Consider the following 23759-nt stretch of genomic DNA (forward strand, 5'->3'; position numbering starts at 1 on the left):
GCCATATTTGTACTGTTCAATATATTAGTCCCTAGCCACATGGGGGTATATAAAGTTAAACTTAACTAAGTAAAATTAAATAAAATTTAACAGTCAGTTTTTCAATCTCAATAGCCACATATCAAGTACCCAACAGCTGCATGTGTATAGTGGCTACTGAATTGGACAGCACAGATACAGAATGTTTTTATTATTGCAGAAATTTCTATTGCACTGATCTATATCTGTTAGGTGTTCTGGTATATTTTCAATCTTTCGTTTATTCTTCATTTCTGATTTTTCTTAGATTTTTGACCAATCTTTTTGTTCAATAGTTCTCTATCAACTCTTCCTAATTTGCTGTTAATTTGATCTTTTTAGTTATTTTACTTTAATTCTAGAATGTATATTTTGTTAATTTTTTAATCTATGATATCACATTTTATGGTTGCTGGTTCCCTGCCAACATTTTAAATCTTGACTTTCATCTCATTGTATATAGTGAGCACAGTTGTTACATAGTCTGCCTGGTAATTCTATTTTTTGGACTTCATTGTGTTTGCTCCTATACTGTATTATTTTTGCTGTTTTTTTTTTTCTTATGGTATTTCAACTCTTCATGTATTCAGTTATTTCTGAGTATGTGCTGGACATTGTTTCTAAAAACTAACTTTCAGTAATAAATTCAAGACTTGATTAAAGTTGTCTTCCACCAACAAATATATTCATTGCTTTTGCCAGAATCCTGGGCACACTATTTTTGACCATTTAATACAGGTTCATGCTTTAGGTTTTCTGTAGAGTAGAATGATGCAAAACTGTCATCTTAACTACCAGACTTCAACCCTTAAAGTTTCAGTCCAAAGTGTTAGTGTCCTCTCAAGATCCTCCTCCCAAATGTACAGAAGCTGCTAATGACAGAAAAGAAGAAATATATAGGAAACATCAAACAATGGAGAAAAGTATCAAAAACAAAAGCTCATTCTTCAGAATTATTAATAAAACAGTCCCTTGAGAGACTGGCCAAAGAAAGAGAAGGCACAAGTTGAACTATAAAAACTTGCACAAATAAGAAATAAAAGAAATTGATTTAAAATCTTGACATAGTCAAGAAATACAATAAATTGATAATATATTAAAATTTTATAATAAAAATAACATTGAATTATGAAATAATAGAAACTACAAAATGCCAATAATTAATTAATCTATACCTTTTCACCCTATAAAATAGTTTTATAAAGGGCTAACTACACTTTCAAAAAACAAAAATTCTTATTTTCTAAAACCATTGTACATAATATAAAGAAATGTCCTTTAACAAATTTTCTGAAAATAATGTAGCCTTTATATCAAAAACCAGAAAAAAGACAGCATAAGAAAGTATATATTAGTCAATATTAGGTAGAAACATGGATGAAAATATCAGTTATTAACAAAATACTTCTCATATCCATCAAACTCACATAAATTAAATTTCTAGCAACTCCCAGTGCCACTGAAGTTATAGGGTATCTGGAACATTCATCTATTCCCAATAGGAGTTTAAACAGTACAACCATTTTTGGGAGTGATTTGGAAATATCCACTAGAGTAATGCCCAGTAATAGTGGAATGGATTGATAACTTGTGTGTATTAATATAATGGCATACTATATACCTGTTACCATTTATGCACAATTTCTTTTTGACTCAACATACACACATTTCAAAAATGCAAAATCAAGTAAATAAACCAAGGTGCCGAAGAACATTAAAAAATTATACTATTTGTGCAAATTTAAAAAACACACAAGACACAATACAATATGCTGTGTGTGTGTGTGTAGATATATAGAGCATATTTATACATCAACTGTAGAAAGGCAATTGTCTCCTGGGAAGGAGACTAGGAAAGGAGATCAAGAAGGGATACAATGGGGACATGAAGTCTGTCTGAAAAGAAATATTTAAAAATGATTTGAAGCAACCAAGGCTCAATATAAGCATTTTAATATTTAGGTAGACAGTGTTTATTAGGTATAATATTAGACCTTACTTTATAAAGTAACTGTGAGGACTAAGTGAATTAATGCATATAAAAGGCTTAAAGGACAGAGTAGGTGCTCATTACATGCTGATTTTCATAATTGTTACTCATTAGAGATGGTGAATTTCTAGACAGAAAAGCCCAGCTATTATTTATCACTGTCCCTTATGCATACTACAGGATCTAGCACAGAGGAGATGCTCAGTAATTTGGTTGAATGTGTCCACACATCATAAATTGCTGTCTTCATCTCAAACTCCCTAATGGTCCTTGCCTACTTGCATGGATGTAGGTGAATGAGGAGTGTAACAGATTGGCATAAACCACTGGTAGAAACGTTAGGGCTTAGTATTTGACTCTTACAACCAGTTCCATATGTGACCTGGTTTATGGTTTCAGGGCAAGTGATTACTTTTAAGTAACCAACCAGCAGAGTTTAGACGTGTTTCGAGATTCTTGGAAGAAGGTTGATTACATAAATGCCAACTATATTAGTATTGATTTCTCAAAGAATAAAAAGAAAAACCAAAAAAAAGGTCAACTCAATCAGCTATTTATTATTTCTTCTGTTCTTTAAAATTGTAAGAATTTCTGAGGGGTGGGAATTTCAAAGCTATTTCAAGATCATTATATAAAGCATTCTTTAGTATATAAGGTCTTAAGGAGGAGAAATGGGCTTTGGCTGACTTCACCCACAAGCTGAACTCCATAAATATTATATAGTTAACACACGATCCAGATACTTTAACTTCACAGAGTTCAGGAAAGAACAGCTTTTGTTTATGGTGAGTTTTCCTATGTGTTGAATATAAAGTACCAATTAAAGTGTAATCGGAATAGCTGTTTGAATTTTTGGCAGCGTATCAGAAGGAGTTACGGAAAGCAGGGCCTTTTCAATGATAGATATGATTTTGCAGAGGTCATGCTATGGCCTGGATAGGGCATGCCTGGCCTGATTTCAAACCATAAATGCATGCGAATGTAAGGAAATGAATCCTATTCCAGGGCCTATATCTTCATTGCCTTAGAAATGGTTTTTCTATTTCCAAAGCAATTCTGGTTTTCAGAATAATTTGCCTGGAACTCAATCCCTATATGCTGATGAGACCAACTGAGGTCTAGAATGGCTAAGACACTGGGGCATTTTATTTTGTTATTTCCACTGTCCAATTCTTTGTAGATTTTGATTTGGAAAAGTATTCAACCCATTGGAACCTAAACCATTCTCCCTCTCCCTAAAATATTTTCATAGAACTGAGTTCCCCTTATTTTCAGAGTTCTTACATCAATTATACATGAAGTGAATGCCTGAAAGGATCAGGACTGATTGTGGGGAAGAAGTGAAGTATGTTACGGAATAAAAGACTGGAAACAGAAAATAAGTAGAAAACAGAAAAAGCAATGAAGCAAACATGCATGGTTGACATAAACGTGGAGCAGAAACTACAACAATAGGTTCTTGGATAGTGCCTCTGAATGGGACAAATAGTCACTCTGGAGTCTCAGTAAAAATCTAAAGAGAGAAACCTGATCCAAGTTAAAGGTATAGTCAGCGACTAGCTCAACTTCTAACAGCTTCCAAAAACCAAAAATGTGCAGTTGACCTTGTAACTAGGATTGCATATGGCACCCAGCCAAAACCCGCCAGCCCTCTCCAGGGCAAAGAGTGACAGCTTTGCTGTCCTGCAGTTGAAACAAGTGGGAGCTCATATTAAACTGTGCCAAGCAGGGCCTGCCACTAAGCTGAACACCTGTAATTCACCCATCTGTGTCCCTCAAGTCCTCACCCCAAAGTAAATTGATTCTGAGCTCTAACAGCTGTCTGGGGGACTCTGCTGGGCTGTTCCCAGCAGGAAAGGATGTGGGAGATGATAAAAGCTGTAGGTGTGTTTCCAAGGTCAGAACCCAAAGAGGGAAGTTTTTTTGATTCTTTCATTTGTAGAGATGACAAAAGTGGTAGTGGGTGGGATGCATAATTTCCAGATCATTTAAGTAACTACCAGACGTTGTTTATCCCATCATATGATTTGAAAATTAAGATAATCATAGTTGATGAAAGAGGAGAAAGCCTGGGCAATGAGGGTCCCTTTCATCAAGGAGTGTAAAGCAAAGAGTAGGAGAAATGGGGTACAAACTTAGAAAATGAAAGTCATATGCAGTGTCTCTGTAAAGGTAAGAGAATTTCAGGAATATTTTAAACATACATTCAGTGTAGACTACCCTGTTCATATCAATGATAGAAAAATAGATATGTAAGTTTTATGAGCAACAAATTCAAGTTTGGAAGAAAGAAACATACACATATGGTCACCTGCTATGGGTATTTATAATATTAGATGTAAAGTGTTTATAACAGCAGACTCTTGCCAACATCAGCAGCCATTGACATAAATAGATTACCGTAGATTACTAGAAATAAATGAAACCCTTGTATTCTATATAGGTGATATTCCAAAAGTAAACAGAATCTTAAAGGCTGAATAGCCCAGGCTCCCTTGTGACTTGAGCCATAGCCACACTTTTTTTTTTTGCAAGCTTACATACTATTTTGTTTCTGGAATTTTTTAAATGCTTTTGAGTAAAGAGCCTTGTTTATTGTTCAGATAACTGTTTTATCTGCTATTACTAAATAGGGAATCTTCATTTATTCATTACCAGTCACACATTTATTAATTTTGTTTAAAACTATTTATTGTCCTGGTCCTTGGGATATAGTGATAAGTAAGAGCATTAGTCTCTGCTTGCAGGCTCATACTCAACAAGTGGTGACTTTCAATGTACTTTTGTGTTTATGCACACATGGGAAAACTAGAAGCAATAGATTGCGTCTAAAGCAAAATGCTAAGAAAAGAGCTTCTAACTGAAGGCATCTCTATGAGAAGTTTGACTGAATTCAGCTGATTTCCATAATCACAAACACCTACTGAATAACTACCTATGCTTTGTCTTTGGTGAGCCACAAAAGTGCTGAGATTCATTCATAGGGCCCCATTCTAAATGGGATCAGCCTAGTGGGAAAAGACTCTGCAGTCCTCTTAGAATGTGCCATCAATTTTTCCTTCATCTGTGTGCAATTGAGTTGTCCAGCACATACATTTAAGTGCCTATAAGATATTAACTACATTGCTAGGCAGTGGGAATAAAGAGTGCTGTTAGTCTCTGTCCATTCATCTGCACATCTATCCTTTCACCCATTCATCCAATTCAGATATTTAATGAATGATGATCATGTACTAAGTGTTTATGCTAGACTGTGGAGAAAAAATAAAACAACATAGACACACTTTATGACCTCATGGAGCTTACATTACAGAAGCAGACATAAACAAAACATAAGAAAAACAACTAGATATACATGAAATTGACAAATTCTGGTATTTGGAGAGATTTCTATTTTTAGAACTATAAATCTCAAGAAGTTCTGAGAGACCCTCCTGCTATAAAATGAACAGTCTATGAAGGCAAATATTTTAGAGAAAATGCTGATTCCACAATTATTAGGAAAGATGCCAGAGGCACCCCCCAGTTTCCCTCCCCTACACACAGACACAGACACACACACACACACACACACACACACACACACACACACACACAGCAAACAAACAAGAAATAAAGGAACCAACAACAAATATGAGTTGGTCCTAGAACAGCTTTGAAATGAGGAATCTAAAGGTACCAGAATCAGAATGCTGGGGGTTGATATTGCCGAGGCTGGGCAGCTGGATTTAAAAATATTTTATAACTTTTCGTAATTTTTCTCTACATGGCCTAGTAAAGAGAAGAATGCCCTGGGCATTCTGTTGATACCCCACAAGGACGACTACTCAAGAATTAGGGTTTGAGATGATTCAGCTCTTACAAAGACTGATCTTCGTGAATGGACTGTTTGCTCTCTGCTTGGATTAAGGTGATTTTTCCCTAACCTAAATGCCTACCAGGTACACAATTAGATCTTCTCTAGAAGAATATAAAGCCATGCAGAGCCTTAATTATTACACTTTTTCAAACTCAATATCCATTATTTAATAAAATATAATTACTGGGCATATAGGGATAGAAGGACAAATAACTAATGATCAAGACAGAGAGAGAGAAAGAAAGAGACTAGAAGCAGACCAATAGGAGAGCCAAATATTGGAATTAATAGATAACAAATTTAAAAATGATTATGATCAATAAATACAGGAAATTAATTGGTAAGATTGATGCACAAAATACACATAGGACATGGTGAAAATGTCAGACACTCTTGAATCCAGTTGGAGTTCCAGAAAAGGAGGAGATGCAACACATGACAAAGCAGTAAGAAAAAAAAAACAAACAAAAAACACTCTCAACAAACACACAAACACACACACATTTTAAAGTGTACATTGAATACTTACCAAAATAGATTATAAAATCTTTCTCAATTTTTTAAAAATTGAGATCTTAGAGCACGTTCTTTAGCCACAATAAAATTAAACTAAAAATCAATAACAGAAAGCTTTCCAGAAAATACTCAAATATGTTTTTCCATTTGTTTGTGTCCTCTCTTATTTCCTTGAGCAGTGTTTTGCAGTCCTCCTTGAACAGGTCCTTCACATCCCTTGTAAGCTGCATTCCTAGGTATTTTATTCTCTTTGTAGCAATTGTGAATGGGAGTTCATTCATGATTTGGCTCTCTGCTTGTCTATTATTGGTGTATAGGAATACTTGTGATTTTTGCACACTGATTCTGTATCCTGAGACTTTGCTGAAGTTTCTTATCAGCTTAAGGAGATTTTTGGTTGAGATGATAGGGTTTTCTAAATACAAAATCATGTCATCTTCAAACAGAAAATTTGACTTCCTATTTGTATAGCCTGTATTTCTTTCTCTTGCCTGATTGTCTCGCCCAGAACTTCCAATACTATGTTGAATAGGAGTGATGAGAGAGAGCATCCTGTCTTATGACGGTTTTCAAAGGGAGTGCTTCCAGCTTTTGCCTATTCAGTATATGATATTGGCTAAAATATTACATCCTCATGGATAGGAAGAATCAATATGGTGAAAATGGCCATACTGCCTAAAGTAATTTATAGATTCAACGCTATTCCCATCAAACTACCACTGACATTCTTCACAGAATTAGAAAATACTGCTTTAAATTTCATATGGAATGAAAAAAGAGCCAATATAGCCAAGACAATCCTAAGCAAAAAGAACAAAGCTGGAGGCATCATGCTACCTGACTTTAAACTACACTGCAAGGCTACAGTAACCAAAACAGCATGATACTGGTATCAAAACAGATATATAGACCAAGGAAACAGAACAGAGACCTCAGAAATAACACCACACATCTACAACCATCTGATCTTTGACAAACCTGACAAAAACAAGGAATGGGGAAAGAATTCCCTATTTAATCAATGGTACTGGGAAAACTGGCTAGCCATATGCAGAAAACTGAAACTGGAGGGCTTCCTTACACCTTTTACAAAAATTAACCCAAGATGGATTAAAGACTTAAATGTAAAACCCAAAACCATACAAACCCTAGAAGAAAACCTAGGCAATACCATTCAGGACATAGGCATGGGCAAAGACTACATGACAAAAACACCAAAAGCAATTGCAACAAAAGCCAAAATTGACAAATGGGATCTAATTAAAGAGCTTCTGCACAGCAAAATAAACTAGCATCAGAGTGAACAGGCAGCCTACAGAATGGGAGAAAATGTTTGCAATCTACCCGTCTAACAAAGGTCTAATATCCAGAATCTACAAGGAACTTACACAAATTTATAAGAAAAAAAACAAACAATCCCATTTAAAAGTGGGCAGAAGGTATGGACAGACACTTCTCAAAAGAAGACATTTATTCAGTCGATGAACATGAAAAAAGCTCAACATAACGGATCATTTGAGCAATGCAAATCAAAACCACAGTGAGATACAATCTCAAGCCAGTCAGAATGGTGATTATTAAAAAGTCAAGAAACAATAGATGCTGGTGAGGCTGTGGAGAAATAGGAAAACACCTTTACACTTTTGGTGGGAATAGAAATTAGTCCAACCATTGTGGAAGACAGTGTGGCAAGTCCTCAATGATCAAGAACCAGAAATACCATTTGACCCAGCAATTCCATTAATGGGTGTATATCCAAAGGAATATAAATTATTCTACTATAAAGACACATGTACATGTATGTTTACTGCAGCATTATTTACAATAGCAAAGACATCAAATGACAATCAGAGATAGTCTGGATAAAGATAATGTGATATATATATATATATATATATATATATATATCATGGAATACTGTGAATATTTGGAATATAAATTATTCTACTATAAAGACACATGTACATATATGTTTATTGCAGCACTATTTACAATAGCAAAGACCCAAATGCCCATCAATGATAGACTGGATAAAGATAATGTGGTACATATACACCATGGAATACTACACAGCCATAAAAAAGAATGAGATCATGTCCTTTGCAAGGAGATGGATGAAGCCGGAAGCCATCATCTTCAGCAAACTAACACAGAAACAGAAAACCAAACATTACATGTTCTCACTCATAAGTGGGAGTTGAACAGTGAGAACACACAGGATAAAACAAGGAAGATTAAAATATATTTTAAACTGAATAATAACAAAGACACATCATTTCAAATGCTCACAGAACATCCACCAATATAGATTATATATTATATATAATGAGTTCATAACAATTCTCAGTAAGTTTAAAATATTTGAAATTTTACATAGTATGTTCTCTAACACAACAGTATTAAAAAATTAATAGCACAGAGATTTCTGAAAAAATCACTAAATATTTGAAATGTAAATATTATACTTCTAAATACATGGTTCAAGTAAAAAGCAGCATAAAACATAACATATATTTTGAATTAAATGATACTGAAAACACAGAATGACAAAATTTGTGGGATGTAACTAAATCTGTACTAGAGGGAAATTCATAGCTTCAACTTCTTATACTAGCAAAGAAAAAAAAGGATTTTAATTTCAGTGATCTGGTTAAGTGTTAAGAAACATCTAGAGGTTACAACACTCTTCATGGTGAAATATAAGGGCATACCCCTCTAACCACCTACATGCAACGTAATCCTGGAGAGCCTATCCATGAGACTCCACATAGAAAACTCTAAAAAAATTTTTTTAAATACTAAAACCTACAAGTGAATTTAGTGACATTGTAGGATACAAAGTCAATACACACAAATCAATAGTATTTTACATAATAGCTGAGGACACATGGAAACAAAATTTAAGACCACACCAGTCACAATAGCTTCAAGAAGAATGTAATATTGAGAAGAAAATTGACAAAATATGTGCAAACCCTATATACTGAAAAACACTAAATAAATCTTGGTGGATATTAAGGCTAAATTTTTTTAGATGCCAGTTTTACTCAAGTTGATCTAGAGATTCAACACAATCCCATTCAAAATCTCCACATGGCTATTTTACAGATATTTAAAATTTTATTTTTTAATTTATATGGAAAGTTAAAGAATAGCCAAAGCACTGTTGTAAAAGAATAACAAAGTTGGAGAGCTACTTAATACATTATTTGATTTCTAGATTTACTATAAAAATAGTTATCAAGATGGCATGATATTGATGTAAGCATAGATATGTAAATCAATAGAAGAATAGTGAGCCCAGAAATATATTAACACATGTGAGCTAAACAGATTTTTGACAATGATACCAAGGTGATTTAATGGGGGAAATGATAGTTGTTCAAAAAATGGTGCTGAAATAACATCCACATGAAAATAAATCTCAAATTTTACTTCATCCTCTGTGTAAAATCACTCAAAATGGATCATATACCTATATAAAACCTAAAACTACAAAAGTTTTAAAAGAGAATACAAGATAAAATCTTTAAGTACTTGAATTTGGCAAAAATTTCTTTGATAGAAAATGGTTTACGCTAACTATAAAAGAAAATAAAATGATAAACTGGACTTATAAAAATTAGACTTCTTTTCAGAAAGTGCCATTGAAAGATAATGAAAAGGCAAAGGTACAGACTGGAAGAAAATGTCTGTAACATATATATCTGAGAAAGACAGAGTGAGGAGTACAAAAAATTAACTGGGGAGGAGAGACATGCTAGAGAACAAGAATTTGCTGAACACTTTTTATGTATCTGATACTGTACTTAACTTTGTTTTTAAAGATAAACTATTGGAGCTTAGAGAAGCTTTCCCAAAGTGTGACAACTAAGGTATTCAGTCTTTCCTTCCATTCTTTAACAGATGAGTCTCCCTTGGTCTTACTAAAATATTACTAATAAGGGAACAAGTTGGTCCTTTAGTGTTTTTTTAAGGAAGACTAGAGGATAGGAAGCTGGGCATGGCTACATGTGAGATCACGAAGACACTTATAGAAATCCTTTTCCTTCTTATTCTGTCCCTGAAACCATATGCATTTATAGTGGTTTTTATTCTTCCTGATTTATTTTGAGGTCTACCCTAAGCTGTAAGCCCTAGGATAAGTCTATTCAATCTATAAAATCTAACTAGAGTTGGTAATTTTTTTTTTTTGAGACCAAGTATCACTCTATCGCCCAGGCTGGAGTGCAGCAACGTGATCTCGGTTCACTGCAACCTCTGCCTCTGGGGTTCAAATGATTCTCCTGCCTCAGCCTCCTGAGTAGCTGGGATTACAGTGCCTGGCACCACTCCTGACTAACTTTTGTATTTTTAGTAGAGACAGGTTTTAGCCATGTTGGCCAGGCTGTACAGCCAATAATTTAATACTAGATAATGTTTAACCACTATATTTGAATTTTACCATTAATTTCCACTTTTCCCTTTTAAATCTAAGGTGTGACTCCATAACAATAGATTTCAGTCTTGTCTTTCATCCTTGCTACTGGAAGTGTGAACCATGGCCCAATAGCATTGGCATCACCTGGGAGCTTATTAGAAATGGGAAAGTCAGGACCCACCCTACACCTACTTCATCAGAATCTTCAGTTTAATTAGGTCTCAGCTTATTCAAATACACATTAAAATTTGGGAACCCTGCTGTTTATGACCACATAGAAAAACAGGAAACAGGATTGCTTCCTGCTCCTGTAACTACAAAGGTATGAAAGCACATCCTTGGGATGTCTAGACTATAGTCTACCACTCTACTGGACTTTACTGCTTGCGGACCATGTAGAAAACTTTAGACAGGTCGTTTAGCATCTCTCAGTCTCAATTTCCTAACTATAAACAGGATGAGTACATTGTCTTCATAGACTTGCTGTGAGGATTAAATGAGATAACATTCATAAAATACCCAAGGCAAATGCTGACACGGTGTTGGTTTTCAATATATGCAGTCTTTTCAAGTGGTCAATAAAGAATGATTCTATTTTGCATGAAATAAATAACAAAAGTCAGTGCCTTAAAGCCAATGCAAACCCTTGACATTTCCTCACATCAAGGAGCAGGATCATTTGCCTCTTTCTCTATGTGTTATTTTTTTCTTTGTGCAATGGTCTCAGTCTATGAGTGGGGGCAGGCAGTGCTAGGAAGAGCCATTGCCTTTTAGATTGTGACCTCCCCCCATCCATGTCCCCAAACGGCCTACTTAATAACAAGAGCAGTAACGGGGTTCATTATGCATGCAGCTCTGCAATCATTGCTGAGGAGAAAATTAGTTTGATGCCCTGAGCGACAGTTGAACTCTAGAAAGTGCCTAAATAAAATAAAAGACAAGGAAAATATATACATACACATAAATATAATAAAGAGTGCAGTGAGAAAAGTTATGAAGAGGCCAATTTCAAAACTTGCCCTTTTCCTGGTGCTTCTTGATTTTTTAGGAATGGTGTGTTGGTTACTAAAAAGTCTGTTTATTTAACCAAAAGTTGCCTTGTCTCTAGCATTGTGCAGGTCCATGGGAGGTCTGGGAGGCTCAAGCATGTACACACATGCATATCTTAAAACAACACAGATGAATCTGGAAGCCATCATCCTCAGCAAACTAACACAGGAACAGAAAACAAAACACCTCATGTTCTCACTCATAAGTGGGAGTTGAACAATGAGAACACATGGACACAGGGAGGGGAACAACACACACCAAGGCCAGTAGGGGGATGGGGGCTGATGGGAGGAAGAGCATTAGGGCAAACAGCCAATGCATGCGAGGCTTTAAACCTAGATGATGGGTTGATAAGTGCAGCAAACCACCATGGCTCACCTATGCCTACATAACAAACCTACACGTTCTGCACTTGTATACCGGAATTAAATAATAATAATCATCATCATAATCGTAGGTTGCCTTCTATGAATTGTTAAAAAAAAGATTGTTTTGCCATTATTTTTGGTTTACAGAAGAGTTGCAAAGGAAGTGTAGTGTTGTCATACAGCCTTCACCTAGCTTCTAATGTTAACATCTTCTATAACCACAGTAAATTTATCAAAACTAAGACATTAACATTCATGTACACTATTAACTAAGTGTAATAGGCATTCTTTGGATCTCCCCTCTTTGGTTTTTCTGGACCTGGATCTAATCCAAGACATATTGCATTTAGTAATGTATGCTTAGTCTTCTCCAGTCTAGAAGAGTTTCTGTCTTTCCTTGAATTTCATGACCTTAATGCTTTTGAAAAGTACCAGTCTGATATTTTGTATAATGTCCTTAATTTTGAGTTTATCTGATGTTTTCTCATGAACAGACTGAGGTTATTAATTTGGGGGAATGAATACCACAGAGGTCATGTACCCTTCTGATATAGTTTGGATGTGAGTCCCTGCCCAAATCTTGTATTAGAATATAATCCCCAGTGTTGGAGGTGGGGCCTGGTGGAAGTGACCGGATCATAGGGGCAGATTTCTCATGAGTGATTTAGCACCAGCCCCCTTGGTATTGTCCTAGGAGGACATGAGTGACTTATCCTGAGATCTGGTCATTTAAAAATGTGTAACACCTCTCCTTCTCTCTCTTGCTCCTGCTCTGGCCATGTGATATGCCTGCTCCCCCTTTGCCTTCCACTATGATTGCGTTCCTTGAGGCCTCCCCAGAAGCTGAGCAGATGCCAGAATCATGCTTCCTGTACAACTTGCAGAACTATGAGCCAATTAAATCTCTTCTCTTTATAAATTATCCAGTCTCATGTATTTCCTTATAGCAATGTGAGAATGGCCTAATACATCATCTCATCACATCTTATCAGTGGCACGTGATATTAAAATGTCTTATTACTGGTGATATTAACTTTGATTATGTAGTTAATGAATGTCTCCAAATTCCCTTCTGTAAAGTTATTATTTCCCCCTTTCTCTACCCTGTTATTAATATTTATAAGAAGGTTACTAAGTCTAGTTCACAGTTAAAGGGAGGGGAAGGGAGATGGGAGGTGTAGTGAGACACAAGACCTCTTATAAAGACAAGATGCATGTTTCAGAAATCATTAGCTCACCAAGAGGCCATGACAGGATGGACTTCTATTCAGGAGTAAAAGAAAATAAGTCATAGAGTTGATAAACACATGATTTGGTGAGGGCTTCCATTTAGGCAAAGTTGTTGCCCTTCAATGATTGTGACTTTTTTCTCCTTTCTTCTAAGATTTTTTGTGATTGTTTTAACCTTCTGGTGAATTATCATGGTGATAGCAGCATTTTTGCCTTGTGCAATGCTTTAAATGGTATAATGTACACACACACACACACACACACACACATTCGTATATATAATCCCTCCTATCTTTTTTTCCTAGTTTTTCCTTTTGCTTTGAAAACCATACACTTCTCCAGCATACTGTTACTACTACTTAAAAAGTATCTTAGCCATTTCTTTTTTTAACTTTTAACTTTTAAATTCAGGGGTACAAGCTCAGGATTTTTACTTAGGTAAACATGTCATGGGGGTTTGTTGTACAGATTATTTCATCACCCAGGTATTAACCCTAGTACCCATTAGTTGTTTGTTTCCCAATCCTCTCCCTCCTCCCATCCTCCACCCTCTGAAAGGTCCCAGTGTGTGTTGTTCCCCTCTGTGTGTCCATGTGTTCTCATCATTTAGCTCGCACTTATAAATGACAACATGCAGTATTTGGTTTTCTGTTCCTGCGTTAGTTTGCTAAGGATAATGGCCATTATCTTAGCCATTTGAAAATAATGATTTAACCTCTCTCACCTTCATTGTCATTTTAGAAGAAACTACCATTTGGTGTCCTGCTGAGACAAGGTATGTAGTTCGCTTTTATTTTTCTTTCTTTATGTACATGTAGAAACAAACATACAGTTCTAAGTTTTGAAAATTAAAGGTTTAGGGACATATTTGTGTTACTTTAACATTAATTTTATATTACATATCTTTGCAAAATGCTGAAATTTGCACTTATTTTAGCCAGGTAGAAAAAAATAGGAATGGATTTTTAAAAACTGTTTTTGGTGCTTTACTGAAAGTTGTTTTCCCCCTTTCACCTTTATTTGATATGAATTTTGTCCCTTAACCAAAAGGAAGCACATTTTTCAAATTTTCTTCTCTTCCCATACTTTGGCTCCTTGCAACCAAGAACAGCATAATTTTCTATATTTTTTTATTTTACAAAGAATTATCTTTTCCTTTAGGGTAAAGCAACTGCTTTCATTCATTAAAAAGAAAAGCAAAAATAAATAAAACACATTTTTAAAAAGCAAACAAAAAAGTACACAGCTTATTCTTGTAAAAACTTTATCGACATGGCTATTTTCTCTTCTAGCGTTTCAGGTTTTAGATTAAAAGCCTCAGATTAGACAAATTTTTGTTCCTCCCAAGATGCCAACATATTTGTATTTATATATTTTAAAAATTCTTGTAAGTTTTATTATTTTCTGCCAAAATGATTTTAGCATTTAAAAATCCTTATCATTAAAAAGGTAAAGAATATAGACCATTAATTCTATTATTTTTATGTACTTCTCAGTAAATCTCTGCAATTTACCAATACAGTTTCTCCCCCATATTATGGAAATGTCTCTTATTACGAATGTGGTTATTGTCTTTCTTTTCATTTTCCTAATCTTTCCAAGACTCTTTCCTCAGGAGAACCTATTATTTCTATTTTAGGTCTCTATTCTTTGTTCATTCTAAAATTTTCTTTCTTGCCATTTTTATCTCATTGTTCTCCTACTTTTTATTCTCAGATGTTTTCTCAAAATATCCTCCTCGCTACTGATTCAACATCCCTACAATCTCAATTATACTCTTCTCTGTGCTCGATGTGAATATTGCTGGGATTTTAAAAATGTTCACTAATCCTTAATTCAGTTTATCTCTAAAAATGTGTGTGTGGGTGAGTGTAGGGAAATGTAGGGAAAAGAAATAATTAAGGAACACACACTGTCTCCTTAATTATTTCTTTTCTCTACATTTAAGGGTCATATCTTTCTACATATTTGAGTATAATAGTTTCTTAAAATTTTCTTTTGAATACTGCAATTACTGACAGTAGCTTACTTTTTTTGAGATTTCTGAAACTTATCTTTCCTATCTATTGAGCCTTGTAAGTTCTCTTTACACGTATGTTTATGTCTATATCTACTTGTCTATCTGTGTATCTATCTTTGTAGAGAGAAAGACTTGGACAAGTTACTTGCAAGGAAGTTATTGGACAGTTTTTTTTGTGAAATATTGTCTATTTTCATCTTTGAAAATGTGATAACTGATATTATATATATGAACTTTAAAAAATTAATATAGGCATTAAAATGGTTTCACATTCATTATTGGAATTTCTTTAATAAATTGCCTGTTGATGTATTTTCCTATTTTTTCTCTTGAGGCATTCATAATTTTATAGTTAATTTTCAAACCTTCTTTGCTTACCAAGAATATTAATACTTTTTCTGGAAAATGCCTAGCAAAGACTTTTTGTCCATTTAAAAATGTTCCACTGTTTCCTGTTATTTATGACTTAATGACATTTCAGAACTTTAATACACTAATATCCATAAATCTCTTCCTTTTTCCTTAGAAAATATTTTCACAACTCAAGACAAGTTAAATATCCACTTATGGGAACAGTGCTGAAGGCCTGGACTAGGATGGTAGCAATGGAGACAGACTAAAGGTCAGCATAACAGTCAACATTAAGGGGGTTGAATCAACAGCACATAGTACCTGATTGGAAATACAGAGTAAATTACAGTGAGAAGTGAGTTGCTGTCCAGATTTCTATCTTGGATATGTAGACAGATGATGGTCAGCAAGCAAGAAAACAGGCAGAACAATTTTAGAAACTAAGAAAATGTATTTCCAATGGAACTAATTAAATCAGAGTCTGTAAATAGCATTGTAAGATATAGGAGGCTGATATGGTTTGGATTTGTGTCCCTGCCTAAATCTCATGTCAAATTATATCTCCAATGTTGGAGAAGAGGCCTAGTGGGGGGTAATTGGATCATGGAGCTGGATTTTCCCTTTGCTGTTCTCATGACAGTGGGTTCTCATGAGATCTGGTTGTTTAAAAGTGTGTAGCACCTCCCCCTTCTGTCTTTTCCTCCTGCTCTGACCATGCAAGATGTGACTGCTTCTCCTTTCACCATGATTGAAAGTTTCCTGAGGCGCCCCCAGCCATGCTTTCTGTACAGCCCATGGAACTGTCAGCCAATTAAACCTCTTTTTAAAATAAATTACCCTGTTTCAGATATTTATCAGTGCATGAACGGACTAATACAGAGGCAGAAGCACATCTGCAGGCAGAAATGGGGAAAAAAATAATATCAGAAGAAAGGATAAGAGGAAGAGCTTAAGAATAAGTATGTGCAAATTTTAGTTGATGCTGGACTGGGGAGAGGTGCTAATGGATTCAGATCCTGGGGGAATCTGGACAAGGATATGGTCCAGAGATCAATGGGAGGAGAAGAAAATTAATAAACTTGACTTAAGGACTAGCCTCTAAGTTGAGAAATGTAATGTTTATGCTAATATTTTTACAGAAAAAGGTGTTATCATTCTCAGTTTTGCAACCTGATTCAGAGAAGCTAAGCCATAGACCCCAAGCCACATGGACTACATGGTGGCATCTATTTAAATTCATATTTATTTGTTCTTAGCACTTTTGTTGTGGTCGCTATGCTACCTCTAAGTAGGACTTTGACTTCCTACAAAATTCACTGTTACACATCCAGGTAGATGTGAATACATGCTGCAGTAATGTCTGTCACCCATAGTCACTGCAGGGGAAGTTGGCATCACAGCACTGACGATATGCCTACTATCTTTAGGTTAAAGTGGATACGTTATCATTACCCTATGCAAAAGAATCTGATCATTGCCCTGAAGATAATTTTGTTATCTCACATTGCATATGTGATCATTACCCTGAGGGCAGAGATGCAATCATTGGCCTATAGGAATACTTATCATTATGGCTTGGCAAGTGGAAAAGTGATAATTAACTTGCACGAATAGATGGGATCATTGCACTACAGATAGATCTGTTATTGCATTTCCTGAAGAAATGCAATCTCTAGTGTGCAAAAGACAATGTGTTATCTACATTTATGGTAGAGATATGCTCCTTATATTGCCCATAATGATGATATCAATTGCATTTCAGGTGGAAATTAGGATTGTTGCATTGCTGATAACCTTGTTATAATTACGTTACAGAAAGAGATGCAATCATTCCCTTGCATATGGTCCGTATGAAGACGGGATCATTACAGGAAAGGTGAAGGAGATACAGTCATTATGCTCTATATACACCCATTTTTATGGCTAGCGGCTGAAGATGGGATGCTTTCTTTGCTGGAAGACCTATTACCTGTTAGGTTGCAAAAGATGTGATCATCTTCCTAAACAATAATTTAGAGTCCCATAACAATTTTAAGTGTGCTGTTCATGAAAATTTGAATACATTGTATTGGGAATATAATGGAAGTGAGATGCCTCATGTCGTGAGAAAATCTGACATAAACTCCTTAAGCATGAGAGGCCATGTGGGTATGGAAGCCCTGAAAGGGAGGAAAAAACAGCCAGACCCTAGCTGTTCCAGTCATCCCAACTGAGGTGCCAGACTTGTGATTGAGGCCATCTTGCATCATCTAGGCCTAGTAGAGCTGCCAACTGACTGCAGACACATGAGTCAATCCAGCTAATGCCACATGGAGCAGAGACAAGCCGCCCAGCTGAGCCCAGTCCAGATGACAGAATCATGAGCAAATAAGGTTGTTGTTCTTTTAAGCCACTAAATTTTCGGGTGATTTGTTACACAGTAATAAATAACTGAAACAACTATGTACAGTTTAATGATCTGAAATCAATCCATAGTGTTATGATAGCCTTTTTAACAAAATTGAAATGATAACTTATTCATTTACAATGCAAATCAATTTAATGGCAATAGTTACAACTGCCCTGAAATGATCTAAAGCCTCATGAAGTTGATTTAATATCTAGCTACCCAACATACTTAATCACATGTTCACAGTTGATGAATAGTGACTGAATCTCCATGAGCAAGATAATAGTAAAGCTCTTTTTTTCTCTTTCTCTTTTTTTCCAGATGAATAATTTTACATTTACACTGATAAAAAGTTAAAGTTGCAGCTCTGTTTTCACACTACCTGAGGGATCTTTGTAGATTACATAAACCCTAAGCCTCCTGTGTAAGTTAAGGAAAAAAATTCCAAACTCACAGTGTTATCGAGAGGATTAAATAACATAATTTATGCAAAGTCTTAACCATAGTTGCTAGCATTTAAACTTTAACTTTTGTCCATGTCTCTAATGTAATTTAAAATGATCTTACTCTTTAAGGTTTGATCTAATAGAATATTTGTCAGACACAAAGACCAAGATTTGTCCCAGTTGATGAACCCTGGGTATAACTCAATAGCATATTGGCAGTTTTTATTTTCTGTTAAGTCTGGATCCATTCAATTAGTGATTTATTTCTTAATTTGTCAAACATTACATTAACAAAGTAACAACTTTTCTATCCATATTATATTGTGGTTACAAAAAATGGATCAATTATATTTGAATTAAAAAATTTAATTGCCACCAAAGAAGAGAAAAATAACTAGAGAAAAATAAAAGAGATGTGTCAAGAAGGAATAAAGAGGCTGATAACATGAGATCTCTTCTAGCTTTGAAACATGTCTTGTGAAATGACTAAAATTTTAAAAGCTAGGATCAAGTATTGGTGAGGAGATGAAGTAATTCTAAGTCTCATCCATTGCTAATGGGGTATACATTGGTTTAACCAGTTTGGAGGACTGTTTGGTAATGTCCAAATATTTATTAAAGTTAAACCTACTCCTAAGTCTTATAGCCCAGAAATTTCAAACCTAGGTAAATACCTAAGAGAAATAAGAGTACATGTCTTCCAAAAGATCTATACAAGAATGTGTATAGCAGCCATAGTCATAACTCCCTAAAACTGGAAATGACCCAAATGTCCATAAAAAGGGAAATGGATACATGTATCATTACATATTTATCTAATGAATTGCTATGTCGCTGTAAGAATGAGCAACCCACTGATACATGCCACAGTATCATGAATCACATAGACAGTATGCTGCCTGAAATAAGCCAAAATAAAAAATGTCTTATTTCACTTATATGAAGTTCTAGAATATGTAAACGTGATTTATGATGACAGAAATTAAAATAGCAGTTCCCTTTGCATAGGGGGAGCGTATTCATTACGGAAGTGTATGATAAAACATTGTACATTGGTGGAATGTTCTATATCTTCACTTGAGTGTTTACCAGGATATATGTCCACAAAAAAGTTAGGAATCCATACTTAAGATTTGTGCCCTTTATAATATGTGTGTTATACAGCCACTGAAAATAAATTGATAGATAAAAAGTAATGTCTTCTAGGTTCCATATGGAGAGGACTGATGAAGCCAGCATTAGGCGTGATGGGGACGTGCATAAATGTGTATGTTATCCACTGAGACACAGATTCTGAAGCACCAGAACATTAAAGGCACTTCTACTTGTTTCTTCTACCCAGCTGAAAGGACAGAAAGCTTCTTCCACAGAGCCAGGACAGTCCAGGGGAACGTAGTCCTTCGACTGAAAGCTATGCTTCCTATTTTCTAACAAAGAGGCTAGGTCATGTTGACCACCCAGTTTTGGCCTGCCTGGCTTGCTTTTTATTCCAGCCTGGAGGACTTTCAGGGTTGAATATCCACTCAAGCCAAATCCCAAGAAGCATAACCTGCTATTAGACTCTTGTCACTTATCGGGTGAGGGGCTGTGCGGCTGTTCCAGTGCTTCCCCACTTGGGTCTTGTGACATACCCTGGGGCCAAGCCAAGCCCTGGAGGTTAGCTTCTACAGTCTGTCCTTAAAGAGAGCTCAGGGATGTCTGGACAGGACCTGGAGACAGTGCCCTGGGCCAGAGACCTCTGATCTCTAGGCCAGCAGAGTCACCATGCAGACAGATTTATGAGCCTTAGGCAAAACAGCTGGCATTCCTGTGGCCATCTTTCTACCCCTTCCTTTCCACATGACCATATCCTTGGCCAGATCTTCATGTCCTTAGATGGCTGTTGCCTTTGGGTAAATTGGCAATTAAGATAAATGAGCATATTTATCATGGCCTTGTGGTTACCCCTCCTGAAGCTCTCAGGGTGGCAAGCTGCCTGACCCTCCTACTATGAACTTAGTAACTTTAAAACAGAGAGTATCTTTTCTTGCCCAGCTGAAATTTCCTCCCCAGGCGACCTACTTTTAGGATTAATATGCGGGAAAGTCTGCAGTTTTGTTTTCAGTGAGGGTAGTTGTGTTTTCAAGGAAAGAGGTAGCGCCTTACAGTCAGATTAGCCAGCTTTATTTCTTTCATCAACCCTTTACTGGCTTTCTAAATTTTTTCAAGTAACTTCACCTCTCTGAGTTTCATTTACCTCATTACCTTCATCAGGTAAGATGACATATGAAAAGCCCTTCTCAAGCAACTGCAAAGTTCCAATTAATAGAAGAAATTGTAATGACTATCTGTGTTTGAAGCGGGGCCATTTTTCTTATTTGGAATTTTCACGTATTAAAAATATGGATCCTTTACACCTGTATGCCTTTACTCTCCAAATTGATTCATTCTCTAGTTCCTCTATCTCATTACTAAGTTCAAATAATCATCTTCCTACAAATCACTCAGTTTAGATGCCTTGAAGGCTTCTTTGAATACTTGCTCCTGTTCACACCCGACAGTCAGTCATCAAGCCCTGTGGAACTTGTCCCTGGTCAACATCCGTTCTTCTCCATTCCTACTGCCGTTCACCACACGCAGGCCCTCATTGTCCCCTCCTGGGATCTATATCCTCTCCTCAGCACCTTTTTCTTCTCTATTGATACCATAGACAACTTCTCATCTCATATTCTCTAAACTCAACTTTCAGGATATCATACTCTTATTCCATAGATCAGAACTTTCAATGACTTTCTCCTTCTTTACAGCTCTTCATAACAACTCTGAAGATAGATTCAGTCCTTCTTTTTGGAATTGCCTCTTATTTCTTTTTCTTTTTATGCCCATCATAAACCTCCCATTGGCAAAATTACCATGAACATTTTCTTGTGAATTCATTGCCTTGGTTCATTGGTTCATGGACGGGCACCACCATGAGCCAATTAGAATCTTTCCCTGAGAATCTAGAATCATGGTTAAGAAGGTATAGATCTGCCTGATGCTTTGTTGAATGAAGAAAATATAATGTCCCAAGGGTGGCAGCCATTTTTCTGCCCTATGAACTTCAAAATGCAGAAAATCTATCTGGAATGTGAAAGAAGAAGGATATCAATGTAAAAACAAGAACAATATAGATAAGTAGAGAGAGAAGAGAGAGTGACTCCCCATTCTGCTTTTTTCTGAGGCCTTAATTTTTTTTTATTTGTCATTGGTCTGCTAAGATAAGTTATCCCCCCCGCTTTTTTTTTTTTAGGAGACGACTCACTCTGTTGCCAGGCTGGAATGCAATGCCACAATCTCGGCTCACCACAATCTCCACTTCCAGGGTTTAAGCGATTCCCTTGCTTCAGCCTCCTGAGTAGCTGGGACTGCAGGCATGCACCACCATGTCCAGCTAATTTTTTGTATTTTTAGTAGAGATGGAGTTTCACCATGTTGGCCAGGATGGTCTCCATCTCTTGACCTCGTGATCTTCCTGCCTCAGCCTCCCAAAGTGCTGGGATTACAGGTGTGAGCCACCATGCCTGGGCACCCTTTTTAATTTAACAACCTGGAGTTAGATTTCTATATTTGTGACACTGGGAGTCCTACTTGTTTTAGGACCTACATACCAACTGTCATTTACTGAAATGATATTTAGCCATACATTTTTTCCCATCTGATTATAAAACAAAAATCACAAATCTAGAGAAGTTTGCTCCAATATTCTAAAATGCTTGGAACATACATAATAATATAATTGAAACTCCCTTCCCTCTTGGCTTTTCTGACCTTGAACTCTCCTCTTTTCTGACTCCTCAGCCCAGCACCACCCCTTCCTTTCCCTTCTTTGCCTCTCCTTTTTCTACTCATCTTCCAAAAGTAAGTAATGTTCTGCAAACTGACCTTGGACTTATTCTCTTGTCTATTTGCAAGTTCTCCCTTAGTGTCTCATCATTTCCTGGCTTCAACTATTATTTTCAGGTAACCATCTCCTCATCTTTACATCCTAACTTCTTTTACTGCCCCATTCTAACACTACCAACTCTTCGCTAGACATACCCACTTGGATTCTCCTCCTGCTTCTCAATCTGAAAATGCCTAAATCAGTGGTTTTCAACTGGGGGTGATTTTGTTCCCCAGGGACATTTGACAATTCTGGAGACATTTTCTTATTATCACAACTGGGGTTGGAGATCCTCCTAGCATCCAGTGAGTAGAGGCCAGTGATGTTGCTAACCATCGTAAAAGAACAGAAGAGCCTCTTACAACAAAGAATTATCTGGCCAACAGTTCTGAAGCTGAGAAGCTCTGCTCTGAAACAAATCTCACCATGCCCTCCCTGTATTTCCTCTATGGCCTAAATCTGATCATTTTCCTGTGTCCTCTTGCCTGTTAGTGACACCTTCAACCTCTAAATCACCCAGACCATAAATTTCAGTAGGTCTTGTTCAACTATTTGTCAAGGATGATTTATAAAGTATGCTTACAGTGGGAAAAAAATAAAGTAAATATTACTTCTAAAATACTTTCTATATCTAGGAGTGTTTGATTGTATCAATCTTAAATATAAATATTATAAAATTAGACAAGAATACATTTAAACATATAAGAAAATAAAACATTTAATTTCAAATACCTTATCTATCAAATAGATTCTGGTTAAAGCAACTAATCTTCTACTCTTTAGAAAAACAAACTTATTGGGACCACTCATATATTGCTGCAATTTTCCTGCACATTAAATTAAGGGGAGCATGGTACAACTTCTGATGAGGATGGCAAGCCTGTCTAGTACTCTAACATTGGAATATGGGCTTTATAAGCTTCTTATATGTGTTTTGAAAGGGCAACCCAAAGAAAATGCAAAGAAAAAGGGGATGGTCAACAGATAAAGTTTTTATCAATTTCTCTGGGGAAGAAAGTAGCTTCCTATGAAGCTAATTCCCTGCATAGCATTTATTCCTGTCTGATGTTTGTTTATTGTTAATTTACCTGTTTGTTTTTTGTTGCTTTCCACTAGAATGCAAGACCCACGAATTCAGGGGACTTATATACTTTGTTAGCTGTTACATCTCCAGATTTAAACCTATGCTTTTTATTAG

General features: G+C 35.9%; 1 long non-coding RNA gene across 2 annotated transcripts; it reads left to right on the forward strand.

The window, feature by feature from the left end:
* The first annotated feature begins 14195 nt into the window (after positions 1-14195).
* Positions 14196-18264, forward strand: LINC01370 (long intergenic non-protein coding RNA 1370). 2 transcript variants are annotated; one of them, NR_109936.1, is made up of 3 exons: positions 14196-14226; positions 15998-16177; positions 17638-18264. It is a non-coding gene; the product is annotated as a long intergenic non-protein coding RNA 1370 (long non-coding RNA). The 2 variants fall into 2 exon arrangements; NR_109937.1 differs by having other exon boundaries at positions 15998-16093.
* Positions 18265-23759: the final 5495 nt, after the last annotated feature.

This window comes from Homo sapiens, chromosome 20 (genome assembly GCF_000001405.40).
Source record: "Homo sapiens chromosome 20, GRCh38.p14 Primary Assembly".
In the NCBI taxonomy this organism is placed as follows: Eukaryota; Metazoa; Chordata; class Mammalia; order Primates; family Hominidae; genus Homo; species Homo sapiens.